This window comes from Homo sapiens, chromosome 15 (genome assembly GCF_000001405.40).
Source record: "Homo sapiens chromosome 15, GRCh38.p14 Primary Assembly".
Taxonomy (NCBI): Eukaryota; Metazoa; Chordata; class Mammalia; order Primates; family Hominidae; genus Homo; species Homo sapiens.
Window position 1 is genome coordinate 30,194,937 of NC_000015.10, and position 19,857 is coordinate 30,214,793.

The 19,857-nt window shown below is 41.1% G+C and overlaps 1 long non-coding RNA gene across 1 annotated transcript; it reads left to right on the forward strand.

Annotated features, from left to right (window-relative positions):
• Window positions 1–1,099: 1,099 nt before the first annotated feature.
• Window positions 1,100–19,604, forward strand: LINC02249 (long intergenic non-protein coding RNA 2249). The gene is made up of 3 exons (NR_026771.1): window positions 1,100–1,178; window positions 4,339–4,395; window positions 15,481–19,604. It is a non-coding gene; the product is annotated as a long intergenic non-protein coding RNA 2249 (long non-coding RNA).
• The last annotated feature ends 253 nt before the right edge of the window (window positions 19,605–19,857 follow it).

Genomic DNA, 19,857 nt, shown 5'->3' on the forward strand with positions numbered 1-19,857 from the left:
AAAAAAAAAAAAAAAAAAAAAAAAAAAAAAGAGCGTTATGTCAATTTCATTGATCAACAAAAGTGATGGCTCCACTGCAAATTCAAGTTGATAGTGCCTGGGCCTCTTGAGTTCAAGAGCCTTCTAGACAAAGGGCTCTGAGCTGAAACATGAGCATGCACACATATGCCTGTCGCTGGGTCTGATGAGATAATTTGCATACTTGGTTGTTATCCCTGAGCATTTTCCTGCCTCAATGCACGTGTAGCCAACACAATAATAATCATAGCTGATAAAGGCTAAAGCTGAGGACTTTCCTGAGCCAGGCAGTGGCTTTAAAACCTTTAAAGTGGCTTTTAAAACTTTAACAGCTAAAGCTGAGGACTTTCCTGAGCCAGGCAGTGGCTTTAAAAACTTTAAAGTTTTCACATAGACTCTCACTAAATAATTTCTGTTTTTCAGATCAACAAACTGAGACTATCACATTTGGGATTAAGTTAAAAAAAGAAAGAAAGAAAGAAACTGAGGCTTAAATACTTGCTTAAAGCAAGTATTTCACAGCCAGCAAGTGGCTAAGTTGGAACTTGAGCCCAGGCAGTCTAGCCCCGGGATCCTGTGCCCGGCAGAAAGGTGCTGGGTCAAGGGAGGAGGGGGCAGTCGGGAGCGCGCGCACGCTCTGGACTTGTGCACCCGCGGAAAAGGGTGCGCCGAGGGGGTAGGGGCGACGGGGATGGGGGCGGGGTAGGGGCGACGGGGACGGGGGCGGGGTAGGGGCAGCCCTTTCCCAGGCGGTAGCGGGGGCGGTGGTTCTGTTGTCCTGTTGCCCTTTTAAGCTGCGGCTTGACAGGGGCCGCGCCTCCTGTCGGTGGAGTCGGTTACAAAGGGAGCAGCCCCCCAGGCCGCCACACAGCTCCCGCCAAGACCTGGTGCCCCTTGCCATTTTCCAGCCGCGCTCCCAGGAGAGTGGAGGCTGCAGGAAGAGGCGGGTCTTTAGGCTCACAAGAGCTCGGCCAGGCGGCCCCGCGGGGTGGTCGTGGCCATGACAGCGGCTCCAGACGGCTCCCCTTCCACGCCCTTCCCGCCGGAGATGAGGGGAAGATGTCTGTGTCAAGATTCAAGGCCAAACTGAAGTTGCTGGCGTCTATCTTCCACGAGAACCAGGAGGCTCAGCTGCGGCTCACGCTCCACTGCAACATGAGGTGAGGCGCCCGGCGGCGGCCTCGCGGGGCAGGAAGAGGGCGGAGAGGGGGTGCCCGGAGTCCCGGGACAAAGGGGAACCTGCCCCGGCGAGGCTCCCCGCCCCTTTCTCCCGCAACTGGCCCGGCCCGCCCCGGGACTGCGCGAGGCTTGGGTGGGAGGAGGCGGCGGGCGCGTCTGTCTCTCCGGCTCCTCGCATGGGGCTGTCTTGGGGGCCACTGGCCCCTCTCAGCCCCCGTCGCCGCCCCCCGAGGTGGGAGCCCGCGGTGGCGGGAGCCCTCTCGGGACCCATGGTCGCCCTCAGTCAGCCGGCCTGCTCCGGGGACCGCGACAGGGCGGGGAATGGCGGCTTTTGAGCCCAGGCGGGGAAAGGCAAAGGCCTTTAAGATTTTCGGTGTTCGAAACCAGCCTGGCTAACATGGTGAAACCCTATCTCTACTAAAAAATACAAAAATTAGCCCGGCGTGGTGGCAGGCTACTTAATCCCAGCTACTTGGGAGGCAGAGGCAGGAGAATCGTTTGAACCCGGGAGGCGGAGGTTGCAGTGAGCCGAGATCGAGCCATTGCACTCAAACCTGGGGGATAAGAGCGAGACTTCTCTCAAAAAACAAAAACAAAACAAAACAAAAAAAAACAACTTTTTTTTTTTTTTTTTTTAGACAAAGCCTCACTCTGTCGCCCAGGCTGGAATGCAGTGGCGCAATCTCGGCTCACTGCAGCCTACGTCTCTTGACAGTCCACGGATTAAAGCTATTCTCCTGCCTCAGCCTCCGGAGTAGCTGGGATTACAGGCGCCCGCCACCACGCCTGGCTAACTTCTGTGTCTTTAGTAAAGACGGGGTTTCACCATGTTGGCCAGGCTGGTCTCAAACTCCTGACCTCAAATGACCCACCTCTGCCTCCCGAAGTGCTGGGATTCCTTCAATCCAATCAAGTTGACTCTGAGTATTAACCATCACAAGTGTCTTCAGAATTGTCATTCTTTTCTGCTGTGGCCTCCCTCTCCTGGTTTGCAGACCCATGCTCCGCCTGTGACACTAGGATGGGGAGGTGCTGGCAGGAGAGCTTTCTAGCTCCTGAGTTAAAAGGCAGAGATGGAGTCTGTTTTAAGATTTTGCTGCTGTGTTGAGTTATATTAAAAAACATTTTGTCTTTTCCCTCTGGTTTTCACACTCATAGTAAGAGGCCATCAAGATAGGCTTCTTATATGGGAGGGTGATTCTTACCAACTGTAGTTGGGACAAGAACGGTAAAGAATGTTAGATTCTTCTGGAAAAAAGTGGTCCCTCCATTATTTGGATTGGGTTTGTGGCCTTCTCAAGCCCAGCAGTCTAATTCCATCTGCTTTGTGTCTTCCGGCATGTCCCTGTAGTTTTGGTTCACTAAGGGTATTCTCCTTGTATCTGTTATTTTTCTGCTGCTGTGTCAGACTTATTCTGTTTAGTAAAATACTGTCATTTTGGTGGGATTTTGGAAAGAGGACCAGGCCACATCTTGAAATTCATCTTAGGATTTTACAACCCTAACTCACTTTTTGTTTTGATTAAATTACCCTTTTTGAGGGGTGGGGGCTCAGCTTTATCATTTGCAAAATGAAGGATAGTAACTGGGCTGATGGTTACAGATGTGGATGCGTGTCAGAATCACCTCAGAGAGCTTTTTAAAAACACATTCTCCCCAGCACTTTGGGAGGCCGAGGTGGGCGGATCATGAGGTCAAGAGATCGAGACCATCCTGGTCAACATGGTGAAACCCCGTCTCTACTAAAACTACAAAAATTAGCTGGGCATCGTGGCACGCGCCTGTAGTCCCAGCTACTTGGGAGGCTGAGGCAGGAGAATCGCTTGCACCCAGGAGGCGGAGGTGGCAGTGAGCCGAGATGGTGCCACTGCACTCCAGCCTGGCAACAGAGCAAGACTCCGTCTCAAAAAAAAACAAAACCAAAAACAGATTCTCTGGGTATGCTTTGAAATGAGCATTTCAAAAATGCTCTTTCAATCACTGATGCAACCAAAGTCTTTGGGACTTTTAGGCTAAGAATATATTCTTTAGATACCCAGAATAGTTTAATGTGGAGTATAACAATTTAGGGAAATGAAGAAGGGTTGAATTACATTTTGGAAGCTGCTGCTTGCTTCCTTTTTCCATTTAGTTTTTAGAAGACAAAGAATGTCTAAAGAGATACAGATTTAAAGCAAATATAAGTTAATTCTTCATGGGTATGTTTATCTACATGGCTTTCTCCAGCTGACTGATCCAGAAGAGTTCTAATACCCTCTGTGATCATGGGTTTGTTTTTCTTAAGAATTACTCCATCAGAGTATCTAAGAACAGATGCTTAGATACTGCTGAGACCTTTGTTGGTCTTACTTGATCTCTGAATCCTAGTTTTTTGATCTTCTACATATTCTGGGTTTTAACCTGTACTGGCCTTCATGGTTAAAGAAGCATTTATATACTGTGCCCAGGCCAGGAAGCTTATCTTTTGAACTTTGCCCAAACTGTGTATGAAGGCCCTTCTTAAAACCCCATTAAATTCATTTCTAAACTTGATCATTGTAAATTGTGTCAGTTGGTAAATTCTGTCTTGTAGGGAGGTATTTTGTAGTAAATAACATGTTTTTAAAACTAAAATTTGCCTTTTAGTAAGGTGGTAATCATTTCATAATTCTTAGTTTTGTCAAGTGTCTATAAATAACACATCTGATCTTTTAAAATGTAAGGCAATTGAATTTATGTAATGATTCAGGCTTTTCAAAGTTAAAAAGGTAGTTATTTTAAGGAATGGATAGTTTGTGATATTTATTTTAAACAAAATAAGCCATTGATCTTATACACATAGCCATGTAAGTAAAATGTTTTCTTATTTTAAATTAGATTACATTTTAACATTTTTTTCGGTTTTGCTTTGTATTTGACTGATTGCTTTTCTTTATTCCTAATTCTTTTATTCTTTGTTCCGTTTTTAAAAGCTGATAACTGTTGTTTGTCAAATCAAAGTTGGATTTAAAAATAAACATTTAATTTTAATAAGCTCTCTGCTAGTGGCACTGCAGTGACAGATGGTTGAGAGTTTGTCCCTAAAGCTATGGCACCGGTCTTCTAATTGACTCACCCTGTATTCAGCCTGTGTAGCCCTGGCAGATTCTTTCTCTGTTTCAGAATGGGACAACAGAAGAAGTGACTTCAGAGGAAGAGGAAGAAGAGGAGATGGCTGAAGTAGGTATTTTATATAAGAATGACATTTCATAAATGTCGTCATTTTTGATTTGAGGAATTCTCTAAATCTCCTTTGTAAACTACTATTAATGTGGAATAATTGAAAGCACATTGTATTTGGAATGGAATATAATTTCTCACCTCTGGCTTTACCTCTAACTGATGATACATCTTTGAGAAAATTGCTTTATCTGAATTCTTTGGATTTGATTTTCTGGAAAACAAAAGCTCTTAACTTTTAGCACCAAAGTTGTACTTATATTTAATACTAATCAGTCCTTAACCTGTATTTGGTTATTTTTAGGAAAAGGAACTACTAAGTTTAAAAAATGTTATGTTTGCATAAAAGGAGAATTTGAGAACATGTTAGGGACTACTCACCAGAAGTAGTGACACTGTCTCTTGTTGAAAAATCATCAAGGAATTTTCTCTTAGTCTGTTTTATGCTGCTATAACAGAATACCAGAGACTGGGTAATTTATAAAGAACAGACATTTATTTTCTGACAGTTCTGGAGACTGGGAAGTCCAAGATGAAAATACCAACATTTGGTGTCTGAGGGCCTTCTTGTTGCCACCTCACATGGTAGAAGGCAGAAGGCAGAAGGGCAGGAGAGCAAGCTAGTCCAATGTGTGAAGCCTCATTCATCAGGGCCTTAATCCCATTAAGGAGGAAGGAGCCCTCTTGGCCTAATCACCTCCTAAAGGTCCTACCTCTTAATATCATCACATTGGCAACACCTGAATTTTGGAGGGAACACATTCAAATGGTAGCAAATTTAGTAGAGCACATTCCAAAGACATTGAGCCTAGGCCAGTTGTCAGTCATGGGTCTAATTTTAGACATTTTCAGGCTCTGAAGCTTTGCATTTAAATTCAAACTCCGGAACAAAGATCTGTGTCTCTGCATTGACCAAATAGAAGGTATGTGAATTTTATGGTCTTGATCGTTTTACAAGATTTTTTCTGTTTGGGGTCTTATAATTAATATAGGCTTTCATTTTCTTGGTTTGGAAATTATTAATCTAAAATATACTTTACAGTGCTTCAGAACTAAAGAAGTAGTGTTGTGGGCTTGTTTTTGTTTGTTTTTTTTAAGATAGGGTCTCCTGTCACCCAGGCTGGAGTGGAGTAGCATGGTCACGGCTCACTGCAACCTTGAACTCCCAGGTTCAAGCAATCCTCCTGAGTAGCTGGAACTACAGGCGGGTGCCCCACGTCCAGCTAATTTTTTAAATTTTCTGTAGAGTTTGAGTCTCGCTCTGTTGCCCAGGCTGGTCTTGAACTCCTGGCCTCAAGTGATCCACCACCTCGGCCTCCCAAAGTGCTGGGATTACATGCGTGCACCACTGTGCCTGGCTGTAGGCTTGTTTTATAAGTCTGGGAGTAAAATACTTCTTAAAATTGTCCAATTAGAATGAGAGTTTAGGCTGGGCATGGTGGCTCATGCCTGTAATCCCAGCACTTTGGGAGGCCGAGGCAGGTGGATCATGAGGTCAGGAGATCGAGACCATCCTGGCTAACAAGGTGAAACCCTGTCTCTACTGAAAATACAAAAAATTAGTCAGGTGTGGTGGTGGGCGCCTGTAGTCCCAGCTACTTGGGAGGCTGAGGCAGGAGAATGGCCTGAACCCAGGAGGCAGAGCTTGCAGTGAGCTGAGATCACGCCACTGCACTACAGCCTGGATGACAGAGCAAGACTCTGTCTCAAAAAAAAAAAAAAAAAAAAAAAAAAAAGAATGAGAGTTTAATGTTTTTATGCAGTTTAGCTCAGGTAGAATAAAGTGCAAGAAAACATTGAACCTTTTCTGTGGGTCAGGAAGCCATTGTAGTAAAGATCATGAACCCTTTCATCTTCCCCTCACAAAATAATAAACAAGGGACTGCAACTTTGAGGGAAATCTAGAAAGGTAGGAGACTGGACTTTGGAGATGTCAGATTAGGACTGGTGAAAAGCAGATATTCTAGGCTCCTAAAATAACGTGGGAACAAGCCCAGAACAACCTTGGACATGGTGTGTTTGTGCATGGGATGCTTTTCTTTTGAGACGGAAGGTTGATGTGTTGAAGTCATGGAAAGTGTTCAAAATATTGTGAGAATTACCGAAATGTGACACAGAAACATGAAGTGAGCACATGCTGTTGGAAAAAAATGGTGCTGATCTACTTGCTTAATGCAGAGGTGCCAAAAACCTTCAGTTGTAAAACAAAAAACAAAACAAAAAAAACAAAAAACAATAATAAAAAAAAGGAAAACTGCAATATCTACAGAGTACAATAAAGTGAAGCAGAATAAAATGCAGTATGCCCGTATGAAAGATTATGATGTCGGTGAACAAACAGTTGTATGCCTTCCTTTCCAATGTGTATGCCTTTTATTGATCCTTGTTGCTTAATCACTTTGGCTAGGACTTCTAGTACTATGTGGGAAAAAAGGGACGAGTATGAGCATCCTTGCCTTGTTCTTCATATGAGGGGGAAAGCTTTTTACCATTAAATATGTTGGTGTCGGGTTGTCATAAATGGCCATTGTTAAGTTGAAATATGTTCTTATTTGTTTGTTTATTTTAACTAGAGATAGGGTTTCACTATGTTGCCCAGGCTGGTCTTGAACTCCTGGGCTCAAGCGATCTTCCTGCTTCAGCCTCTCAAAGTGCTGGGATTACAGGCGTGAGCCTTTCTGAGCGTTTTTTCATCATGGAAAGGATGTCAAATTTTGTCAAATGCTTTTTGTGCATTTATTGAGATGATGATATGTTGTTTATCTTTTATGCTGTTAATGTGACATATCACAATTACTGATTTTTGTATGTTGAATCATTCTTGCATCCCAGGGATAAATCTCCTTAATCATGGTGGTATGATATGGATTTGGTTTATTTGGCCCCACTAAATTTTATGTTGAAATTTGATTCCCAATTTGGTAGTATTGGGAAGTAGGGCCTCATGGCAGGTGTTTGGGGTCTCATGAATGGCTTGGTGCCATCTTGCAATAGTGAGTTCTCATCTTGCAAGACTGGATTGGTTTTTGGGGTAATAAATTAGTTCCCCTTGGAGTAGGTTGTTACAAATCCAGGATACCCCTTGGGTTTGTTCTCATTTCACATATGCCCGCCTCACCTTTTACCTTCTTCACCATGTTTTGACACAGCACAAAAGCCCTCAGGAGAAGCAGATGCTGGCATCATGCTTCTTGTACAGCCTGTAGAACTGTGGCCATTTTAATGCGGTATTGAATTTGGTTTTCTAGTCTTTTATGGAAGATATTTGGATCTGTTTTCATCAGGGTTACTGGTCTGTGATTTTCTCTTTTTTGTAGTGTTCTGGTTTGGCTTTGATATCAGGGTAATGCTGGCATAGTAAAATGAGTTTGGAAGTGGTCCATCATCTTCAGTTTTTTTGAAGCAATTGGGATATACTGACATTAATTCTTCTTTAAATGCTTGATAGAATTCAGTAGTGAAGCCATATGATTCTTGTGCCTCAGCCTCCTGAGTAGCTGGGATTACAGGTGTGCACCACCGCACCTGGCTAATTTTTGTATTTTTAGTAGAGTCGGGGTTTCACCATGTTGGCCAGGCTGGTCTTGAACTCCTGACCTCAAGTGATCCACTCTCTTCGGCCTCCCAAAGTGCTGGGATTACAGGCATGAACCACTGTTCCTGGCCCATAGACTTCTTTTTGATGGAGATTTTAAACAACCAAATTGATATCCTTAATCATTACTGGTATGTTTAGTTTCTCCATTTCTTCATGCTTTGGACTTGGTAAGATATGGTTTCTAGGAATTTACCTACTTTTTTAGGTTATCTTTTTTATGGCATATAATTGTTCATCATAGACCCTTATGGTCCTTCTTATTTCTGTGGTATTAGTTTTCAAGTCTCCACTTTGATTTATGATTTTGTTTATTTGAGTCCTGTCACATTTTATCTTAGTCCAGCAAAAGGTGAATTTTGTATGTCTTTTAAGAAACAACTCAGTTTACTTTTCTGTTGTTTTTCTAGTCCCTACTTCATGTTTTTCAGCTCTGATCTTTAAGATTTCCTTCTTCTTTCTAACATTGGAGTTTGTTCTTCTTTTTCTAGTGTTTGAGGTATAAGGTTATCTTACTTATTTAATATCTTTCTTTTTTCTTCACGTAAGATTTTATCACTAAAAGTTTCTCTCTTAGAATTGCTTTTGCTGTAGCCCATAATTTATTATTTATTTATTTATTTATTTATTTATTTTTGGGATGGTGTCTCACTCTGTTGCTCAGGCTGGAGTGCAGTGGCATGATCTCTGCTCACTGCAACCTTCGCCTCCTGGGTTCAAGTGATTCTCCTGTCTCAGCCTCCCAAGTAAATGGGATTACAGGCACATGCCACCATGCCCAGCTAATTTTTGTATTTTTAGTAGAGACAAGATTTCACCATGTTGGCCAGGCTGGTCTCGAACTCTTGACCTCAGGTGATTTGCCCACCTTGGCCTCCCACAGTACTGGGATTAAAGGCATGAGTCACTACACCCGGCCTAGCCCATAAGTTTTTGTATGCTGTGTTTCCATTTTGATTTGTATCAAGATCTTTTTAAATTTCCCTCTTGGAAAATTTACCACTTACCCTTTGGTTGCTCAGAAGAATGTTGTTTAATTTGCATATATTTGTGAGTTTTCCAGTTTTTCTTTTTATTGATTTCTAGTTTCATACCATTGTAATCAGAAGATATTCTTCATGCAGTTTCAATCGTCTTAAATTTGTTAAAACGTGTTTTGTGGCCTAATACTTAAAGTAATTTGGAAATAATTTTATATGTACAAGAAAAAAAGTCTTCTGTTGCCTTTTGACAGAATGCATTGTATATGTCTGTTAGGCCCTCTTTTTGTCTAAAATGCAGTTCAATTACAATATTTTCTCATTGACTTTCTATCTGAACAATTTGTCCATTGTTGAAAGTGAGGTATTAAAGTTTTCTACTATTATTGTATCCAGTCTGTCTCTTCCTTCAGATTTATTAATATTTGCTTTATATAATTTAAGTGCTGTAATGTTAGGTGCATATATATTTGAAATTGTTATATCCCCTGATGAATTGACCTGTTTATCATTATATGATGATCTTCTTTGTATCTTACGAGAGTTTTTGACTTAAAGTTTATTTTGTATAAATTTAGCTATTCCTACTCTCTTTTGGTTTCCATTTGCATAGAATATAACCTTCCTTATTTACATTGACTCTAAGTGTGTTCTTAAAGCTTAAGTGAATCCGTTGTAGGTACCATATTGTGTGTGTGTGTGTGTGTGTGTGTGTGTGTTCAATCCATTGAGCAGTCTATCTTTAGAGTATTTAAGCAATTTATATTTAAAGTAATTATTGATAGGTAAGCAATTACTATTGCCATTTTGTTAATTGGTTTCTAGTTGCCTTGTAGATTCTTTGTTTGTTTCATCCTCTCTTGCTATCTTCCTTTGTGAACTGATGATTTTTTTGTAATGAGTGGTATGCTTTGATTCCTTTCTCTTTTTCTTCTATATATCAACTAGAGGTTTTTGGTTTATGGTTACCGTGAGGCTTACAGGAAATACCTTTTAGTTATAAAAGTCTATTTTAAGCTTATAACAAATTTTCTTTGATCACATACAAAATCTCTATACTTTTACACCCCTTATTTTTTGTTTATGATGTCAAAATTTATATCTTTTTAATATTATGTATCCACAGACTATTGTATTTACAGTTTTGTTAATACTTTTGTTTTTAAACTTTAAGTGATTTACACACCATTACAGTATTAGAATATTCTGAATTTATTAGAGTATTAGAATATTATTAGAGTATTCTGATAAACTTCCATTTGTCAGTTTTATACTTTCATATGTTTTCATGTCATTAATTAGCCTTGTTTCATTTTATCTTGAAGAACTCTCTAGCATTTCTTATAAAGCAGGTCTAAAGTGGTGAACTCCTCAGCTTTTGTTTGTTTAGAAGGCTTTAGATCTCCATTTTTGAAGAACAACTTTTTTAGGTAAAATATTCTTGGTTAGCAGTATCTTTCTTTCTTTTACCAGTTTGAATATATCTATATAATTCTACTATCTTCTGGCTGTAAGGCTTCTGCTGAGAAATCTGCTAATAGTCTTATCAGAGTTTGCTTGTATGTGCCAAGCCTCTTTTCTTGTTGCTTTCAAATTTCTGTGTCTTCAATTTTTGACAATTCGTTATGCAGGTGAAGGATCCCTTATCTGTAGTGCATAGAATCGAAGTGTTTCAGATTTCAGATTGTTTTAGATTTTGAAATATTTGCATTATACTTACCAGTTGAGCATCCCTAATTTGAAAATCTGAAATCTGAAATGTTCCAATGAGCATTTCCTTTAAGCGTCATTTTAGTTCTCAAAAAGTTTCAGATTTTGAAGCATTTCAGATTTCAGGTTTTTAGATTAGCGATGCTCAACCTGTAATGTGACTTGTGAGGCCTTCTTTGGATTGAACCTTATTACAGATTGCAAGCTTTGTATACCTGAATGTCCAGGTTTCTCCCCAGACTTTGGAAGTTTTCAGCCATAATTTTTTTAAATAAGCTTTCTCCGCTTTCTGTCTTTGTTCTTCTTCTAGAACATCCATAATGCAAATGTTAGCTGTCTTGATGGTGTTCCACTAATCTCATCGGTTTTCTTCATTCCTTTTCATTCTTTTTAAAAAAAATTTTCCTTTTCTAACTGGATATTTTCAAATGACTTTTCTTCAAGTTCACAGATTCTTTTTTCTGCTTGATCAAGTCTGTTGGTGTTTTTATTGCATTTTTTGAATTCCATTCACTGTGTTCTTCAGCTCTAGGATTTCTGTTCAGTTTCCTTTTCATGATTTCTATCTATTCATTGGAATTCTTTTGTTGATTCCTATTTTCTGTTTTATTTAGTTGTCTACCTATGTTTTCTTGTAGCTCACTGAGCTTCATTAAAATAGTTATTTTGAATTCTTTGTCAGGCAATTTGTAGATCTCAATTTCTTTGGGAAAAATCAAGTTTTCTTGATTTTTCATGTTTCTTGAAGTCTTCTGCTGCTGTCTTTCCATTTGAAGAAGGAGTAACTTCCTTCAGTTTTTACTTACTATAAATACCTTCACCAACCAGATTGGTTAGTGATTATGAGGCTCTCTCAGACTTTTTCTGTGGATTCACCCACTCCACACTTCTTATCCATTTTGGGGGAGGGAAATGCTTAAGATTATACACTTTCTTTCAATCTTGCAAAGCTAGGCCAGGGCTGAGAGCTTCCTGTTTTGATTTTCTAGAGTGGTGCACTGAAATGCTCAAGTTTGTGTGTCTTCCTCCAACCCTGCATAGTTGATACAGATACCTGCATGAAGTGCTTGCATTTGCTGTTCACGCAGGTGCATTTAGGGAACCAATCTTGGGAGCGAGTTGTGCCAAACATTTTGAGTGCCCATGCACCAGTTCAGGGGGTCCAAACACAATGTGTTCCAAGTGCCTTATAGATGCACTTCCTGATGGAATCACAGAGCAGTAAATTAGATCCCCACCTCTCTTCCCTGTCACTGTTCTCTTCCAACCACTAAACCATACCAATCACCATTGTAGTTTGGATAAGATGAGAAAGTGGGTGTCTTGTTCAGTATCCTACAAAGCTGGGGGAGCTGGGCACTCATGAACCATGCTTGCACTCTCCCCACCCACCAGGAGAAATCATGGACTGCAATGATCTCTCTTGGCATTGAGCTATGATGCCTTGGAGGAAAGGTAATGCAGGTAAAGTGAAACTGTTTTTCTTATCTTTTTCAGTGCATCTATTCTCAGATTTTTGTTCTGATGGCGTGCTAAAACTTTATCTGCTGGATTCTTGGACCCCACAAAAGTGCTCTTATAGATAATTGTCAAGTTTGATGCTTCTGCTAGGCGATAATGGTAGAACGCTCTTATTCCACCACCGCGTGAACATCACTCTGCTTTCTCTCTTAATTCTGCCTTATTCTGCACATTAGCCTCATTTTCCTCCTTGGAGCTTGTGAAGGAATTGAAGATGCCAGAGGCATCAGTCTTATTTTATGTAAGGATGCTCCTAAACCACTAATGATAGGACCTAAAATCTATTGTTGAAGATTCTGAGATATACTCTCCGTCTTTTAGCTGATGACCTCATTCAGGGCCATCACAGCTTACAGGCCAAACTGTCTACTAAAAACATTAGGAAGTGTTAATCACATAGACCTCTTCTAGAGCTGTGCAGTGTGTGACCGGCACAGCCATATGCATTAGCCATGATACCCCCTACTTCATCAAGATACAGCAGTAATGATATTTAGTGTCTCTTATCTTTTCTACAATACCCTTGAATACCTGCCATCCTACATATATTTTATGAAATGGGAGACTGAAAGAATGTATTTTCAAAGTAATACACTTTATGTAATATGTGGTTTTTACATAAACTTATTTATGGAAAATTAATGAATTCAGTAGTAGGTTTTGACATTTTATTATTTTATCTGGTAGGAAAAAGTCCTTCTTTCTTAAATAAGGACTTAATTAGTCCTTATTTCTTAAGGCCTGGATTTGCAAGATTGCTTTCAAAATTGCTTCATGCATATTTTTATATTTTCAATTCCATATGAATTTTAAAATCACCTTTCAATTTTATTGTGCTTGTATGAAAGTTTTGGGTTAACTTCAAGACAGCTGACTTTTAACAGTTAAAACTTTCCAACTAAAAATGTGGCTTTTCTCTCAAATGACAAGCTTTGTATAATTTCTTATAGCTTCCCTTCTTGTTTTCTCTTCAAAAGATTTTTAGAATATTTTTGTTATGATATTATCTTTAGATGAAGGTCAATTTGTATCTTCTTCTTTTATATTTTTAGCTTGGTGGGCCTTTTCTTGAAGACACTTGTCTTTCTTTAACATTGAAATACATTTATCCATTGTTTTAGGCAATTTGTACCTCTCCATTTTCTTTGTTCTCTCTTTTGGGAACTCGTTTTAGTCAAACTTTGGGCTTCCTGCTTTGATCTTCATTAATCCTTTAGTCTTTGTTCTAGTGTTTTTAGTGTCTGAAGTACTTTTTAAGGTTATCCATCTGGGTATGCTAGAGAATGCTGGTCTGGGTATATGTTTTACATGGGCATATGACAGAATCAGCATTACCTCAAATGGTCAAGCTGCCTTTCCTGTGTTGAGGACACAGAGTTTTTACCTGGAAAAAGTATGGAGACAGAGGAGCAAGAGGAGCCTGTGCTGAGCACTTTCTGTTTGCCCCTCCAGACTTACAGTTGACCTTTCTCAATTCACATCTGCCCTTTGGGAGGCTGACCATATCTGTGGGCTACTTCATCTTTGGGCTTTCTGTGGTGCCCTGGAAGAAGGTAAGAGTGTGGGGCCGTAACATTGGTTCCTCCCACTCTCTCTCCACGTGGACAGCCCAACTGCCTCCTCTCAGGCCTCCCTCTCTGCCAGACCTCTGGCGCTGGCTTTCTGCAGTTGCTCCTTCCCTTGCCCTTTTGGACCCAGAGGTTGTAATTATAACCCCAGCGTCACCTCTCAGGATACTGTATTATCCATCCCTGTGATTTTCCCACCCTGGCCCATACTTGCGTAAAAGTCCTTTTATTATTCTCAAATAATTTAAATTGCATGTTCCATGTATTTCCTACAGGTACTCTGAAAAATATAAATGCCCGTAATCCCAGCACTTTGGGAGGCCAAGGCGGGCGGATCACAAGGTCAAGAGATTGAGACCATCCTGGCCTACATGGTGAAACCCTGTCTCTACTAAAAATACAAAAATTAGCTGGGCACTGGGCTGGATGTGGTGGCTCGCGCCTGTAGTCCCAGCACTTTGGGAAGCCGAGGCGGGTGGATCATGAGGTCAGGAGTTCCAAGACCAGCCTGGCCAAGATGGTGAAACCCCATTTCTACTAAAAATACAAAAAATTAGCTGGGTGTGGTGGTAGGCACCTGTAATCCCAGCAACTCAGGAGGCTGAGGCAGAGAATTGCTTGAACCTGGGAGGCAGAGGTTGCAGTGAGCTGAGATGGCGCCACTACACTCCAGCCTGGGTGACAGAGTGAGACTCCATCTCAGAAAAAAAAAAAAAAAAAAAAAGGGTGGCATCTGCTTGTAGTCCCAACTACTCAGGAGGCTGAGGCAGGAGAATCACTTGAACCCAGGAGGCAGAGGTTGCATTGAGCTGAGATTGCCCACCACACTCCAGCCTGGCAACAGAGCGAGACTGTGTCTCAAAAATTAATTAATTAATTAATTAATTAATTAACATAAACAACATGTAATAGAGAGGTTCAATAAGGCCAAAAGTGGTTCCTTTCAAAATTTGAATGTAACATACCAACACTGACCTAAGACATATTAGACATTAATAATCCAATGGCTAATAAGAAAATACATTTTTTTTTTTTAGATGGAGTCTCGCTTTGTGGCCCAGGCTGGAGTGTGCAGTGGCGCGATCTCGGCTCACTGCAACCTCCACCTTCCAGGTTCAGCCAGTCCTCCCCTCTCAGCCTCCCAAGTAGCTAGGATTACAGGCATGCACCACCATCCCTGACAAATTTGTTTTTGTATTTTTAGTAGAGACGGGGTTTCATCATGTTGGCCAGGCTGGTCTTGAACCCCTGACCTCAGGTGATCCACCCTCCTTGGCCTCCGAAAGTGCTCGGATTACAGGTGTGAGCCACCATGCCAGGCCTAGAAAATACATTTTTAAATTAAAAATATTACTTCTGCAATATCTCCAGACCTAGAGGCTTCACCAGTAAATTTTGCTAAATATATAAGAAAGAATAATACCAATCTTATTACTCATGAAATTGATAAATACCAGTGAGCTTGACTGAGGAAAAAGGGGCAAGGACACAACCAATGACAGAAATAATACATGGAATTCAGTATAGTCTTCTAAAACATTACATAATGGTAAGACGATGTTATATACAATTTTGTATCTTGCATTTGAAAATGTATATGAAAAAGACATGTTCCTAGAAAAATAAAGCTCATTAGAACTCACACTTTATCTTCCTCTTCTCTCTCTGTTTCTTTGTTTTGTTTTCTTTTGTTTTGTCTTCTTTCACTCAGACATATAGGAGGTCCAGGCAGCATGAACAGCTCCCTGGTCAGAGACACATGGATTTGCTCACTGGTTACTCAAAGCTGATTCAAAGCCGATTAAAGCTGCTGCTTCATCTGGGGTCCCAACCTCCAGTGGGAAAAACATTCTTCTTTTCCTGCTGGTGTCACCCACTGTTCCACGGATCCAAAACAACACCCAATGTTTGGTACAAATTTAGTGAAACAGCTCTTTCCATTCTTAACTCATGCCAAGCATCTCAGCTTGGGGTCAGGAAAATGCCAGGGGACATGAGCTCTTCTCCTAGAGTTAGAGAATTCTCTGCCTTAGTTGCAATAAAGGAAAAGATACACATTCTTCCTACAAATGCCAAAGTAGGCTCAAAATTTGGTTCCTAGAGTAGAGTATTGAAGTCGTGGCAAAGATCTTTCCAGTGATCAAAGCAGTGGCTCGTTATGTTCCCTCAGACTGAAGCTACAGTCTCATCTTCACTTTCTGTTAGCTCCCTCCATCCTCTGCGTAGGCCCACACCTGCTTCTTACAGTTGTGTGGATTATAGCACCTCCTCTCCAGCCTCAGGACCTTTGTGAGTGCTGCTCCTTCTTCCTTGACTGCTCTTCACCAGGGATCCTCAGGGCACAGCCCTTACCTCCTGCAAGTCTTGACTTAAATGTCACTTTCTCAGGGAGGCCCACACTCATCACCATTTCACACCCACCTCCCACATGACCTTATTTTACCTGTTCTCTCTTCTCCTCTTTTTTTTAGAGTACTTATGATCTCATGTGGTACATTTTGGGGTTTTTGGTTCTTCTGTATCCGCCACTGCCATGATCAGTTAGAATGTTGGAAACCAAGGAAACTTGGTTTTTTGGCCTGTGATGAAAACTATGGGGTCTAATAGTATCTGATAAAGTGGCAGACCCTCAATTATTATTTGCTGAGTAAATGAATGAAGGTGTGTAGACAACTAGCTCTAGAAGCTTAAATGAGTGATACCATGTTTTATAACATTGGAAGAGGCCGGGAATGGTGGCTCACGCCTGTAATCTCAGCATTTTGGGAGGCCAAGGTGGATGGATCTCTTGAGGTCAGGAGTTTGAGACCAGCCTGGCCAACATGGTGAAACCTTGTCTCTACTAAAAATGCAAAAATTAGCTGGACGTGGTGGCACACGCCTGTAATCCCAGCTACTCTGGAGGCTGAGGCACAGCATCACTTGAACCCAGGAGGCAGAGGTTGCAGTGAGCTGAGATGGTGCCACTGCACTCCAGCCTGGGCAACAGAGTGAGACTCTGTCTCCAAAAACAGAAAAAAGAAAGGGGGGGAAGAAAAGAAGAAGGAAGAGGAAAGGGAGGAGGAGGATTTATCATTCACTTACACTAGAAACAGTGAAAATAGATAATAGCTATAATTTACTCACATCTTATCTAAAACACAAATTCAGGGTAATTTATGAGCAAGTCATTTTCCGGTGGGCTTTCGATAGTGTGTGAATTTGGAATGAATGCTGGTACTTCCAGCTCCCTTCCACCTGCAGCACCAGGAAGCCATTGTTGTGGGGAGGCCACCAACTTGGCTGGCATGTTGCTTCTGCCTCAGTTAGTGATGATGGTGATTTGGAGAGAAAGGACACTCTGCTAGGCTCCAAATCCAAAGGATCAAGTGGATAAATGAAATGAATATCTAAATAAATATCAATTAGGTCAAAAGTTTGTTTTCATCTAAATGAAATCTGAACACTACTTAGGGCTATGAAACATAGCCAGAGGACATGGCCAGCTCTGGAGTGGGGCCTGGACTTGCTCTCCCCTGCTGGAAGTGCTTTTCCTCCCAGAGCTCAGAGCACCATGTGCGTGTGACCCCTGCCTTTTCACAGGCCATTGCCACAGGGCATCTCCCTGGTCCACCCGCCCCAAGATGAGCCAGCCTCCCACTCAGGAAGTGGGTGGGGAAGGGAAAGAAAGACAGAGGAGAGAGAGACAGTCACACACAGGCAGTGGAGCTCCCCTGCACCCACCAGGGAGCTTGAGCAGCTCATCTGCAGAGCAGGGAAACATTTTTACTACCATTGGGAAGACGCTGAGCAGAGAGGTGAGGGGACAGCATTTCTTGTCTCCCTGTGGCTTGTTCCACTCACAGTTCAGTTTCTCCTGTTCTTGGGGAAAAGGAGGGAAACTGTATTAGTCAGGGTTCTACAGAGAAACAGACCCAATAAGATGTGTGCATGTGTGTGTGTGTTTATATATGTTCACAGAATGTATATATGTGTATATATATGTATATGGATAACTGCATATATATATTATTTATAGAGAGAGAGAAGAGCAGGAGACAGAGATAAAGAGAGATTCATATAAAGAATTATATTCATAATTTATATAATAATTTGTTCCTTTAATCATAAAGTCTGGCAAGTCCAAAATCTGCAGGGCAGGCCAGAAGCCTGGGCACCCCGGAAAGAGTTGCATCTAGACTCTGAAGACGGTCTGGAGGCAGAATTCCCTCTTTCCCAGGGAATTCCAGTCTGTTTTCTCTGAAGGCCTTTACTGACTAGATGAGGCCCCCACACACATGGAAAGCAATCTGCCCTACTGAAAGTCTACTGACTTAGAGGTTTAGCTCATCTAAAAAATACCTTCGTAGCAATTTCGAGACTGGTATTTGACCAAATAGCTGAGTAGGTTGGCCTAGCCAATCTGACACATAAAATTAACTATCACAGAAACAAAATAATCAATATAGGTAATAACTGTGCCAGAATGCTGTGATGTTTCAGGATGACCTTGTTTACATTTACATTTATTGTCAAAACTTACCTTCTCTTTTTATATGGGCAATTAAATCTGCTACTGAGGGTATCAAGTACTGATTTAATTTACAATCTTAATAGATAAGATAGGTTCCTATTTTCTCCTCTCCATAAAAGTAATAAGTTTGGAGAAACCAGGTCGGAAATACCTCTCCAGATTTTAAAGCATAACCTCTTGTTTGGAATAATAAGTATGTAAATAAGCACCATAAAATATGAAACCAAACATTTCATCATTCTTTTATATACATTATCCCTTGCATTTTTAAAAAATAAGGAACACCTTATTAGCCATATTTTCAAATGGTGAAACCAACACCCCCAGCTCAGACTCTGCCGTGGTAGGCTCCAGGGTCACTGATACCAGATCCCATGGTATTTTCACTATATCCCACTCTTTCTTTGCATGTGGCTCTTTTTTAGCTGCATTGCGGGTAAACAGGTGTGGCTCTTTTCAAACCAATTCCATGCATATGTGAAGAAAATTGATCCTGAAGTTCCTTTTGCCAAAGATGCTTATGGAGAAGTGTCTGTGTCTGGACAGACAAAAGTGTCCATTTTTGCCTCGAAGCTTGGCAAAATTGAAATTGATGATGGGGAAGCTAGAAATACTTCAGTCTACATTTCGAATCCCAGCTGCGGGGAGGCTGGTTGAGGATTGCCCATCCCTCAGTCTGGGCTGGATTCTCCCTCCAGTCTCTGGGGTTCTCTTTTCTATTCACAAGAGGGTGCTAATGAGATGGTTTAATCTCTATACCCTGTGGTCCACAAATACAAGATGCCAGCGTGGCCAATGGGGCTTCCATAAGAGTGGCAATCAGGGGTCTCAAGCTTACCATGACGTTTTGGGCCCTGGAATCAGATCATAGTTCTACAGTTGTCCTGGCACTAGAACTCATGACAAGGTTGTGACTAGACAGAAGGAGAGAAGGCTGGAGGCTGACAGGAAGCAATGTGAACAAATGCCTTCGCAGGATGCATGGGTTTGGGCAACAGATGGTCAGGGGAGGTGCTGGTGCAGACGGGCTCAGTAGCAAAGCAATAACTGTGGATGGCCATTTTATGGCTGCAGATCACAGCACATTTATAAAAGATGTGTGTTTCATGAAAATGTGCATTTCATCGTGGAAATACTGTGGTTGGAGGAGATTTCTCAAAGCTGATAAATAAGTGTAGGTGACTTAACTTGCAAAAGATGATCATATGTGAGAACGGATGTCTCAAATTAGGAAATAACTTGTTAAGTAAAAAAGCCTCATGTATTGATTTGAAGAAAAAGATATTTTGGTGCTCATCAAAATAAAAGTATAATAAGCTGAAGGGCTGCTTTTTTCTGTAAACATAATTTTGTATCACCAGTTTTATTTTCAACGAGGACTTGAAATTCAGAAAAAAAATTAAAGCAGAGAAATGGGAAAAGGGCAAAAAAAAAGGACAGGAAAATAAAGCCAGAAAAAGGCAAATGAGTACAGAAAAAAATAAAGTATCCACTCAGGTTCTGGACACTTTGTTAGAACTGAGAACACACAGATCCAGAACTTCCTAGCAGTTAGTGTAAGTAGGAAATATCACT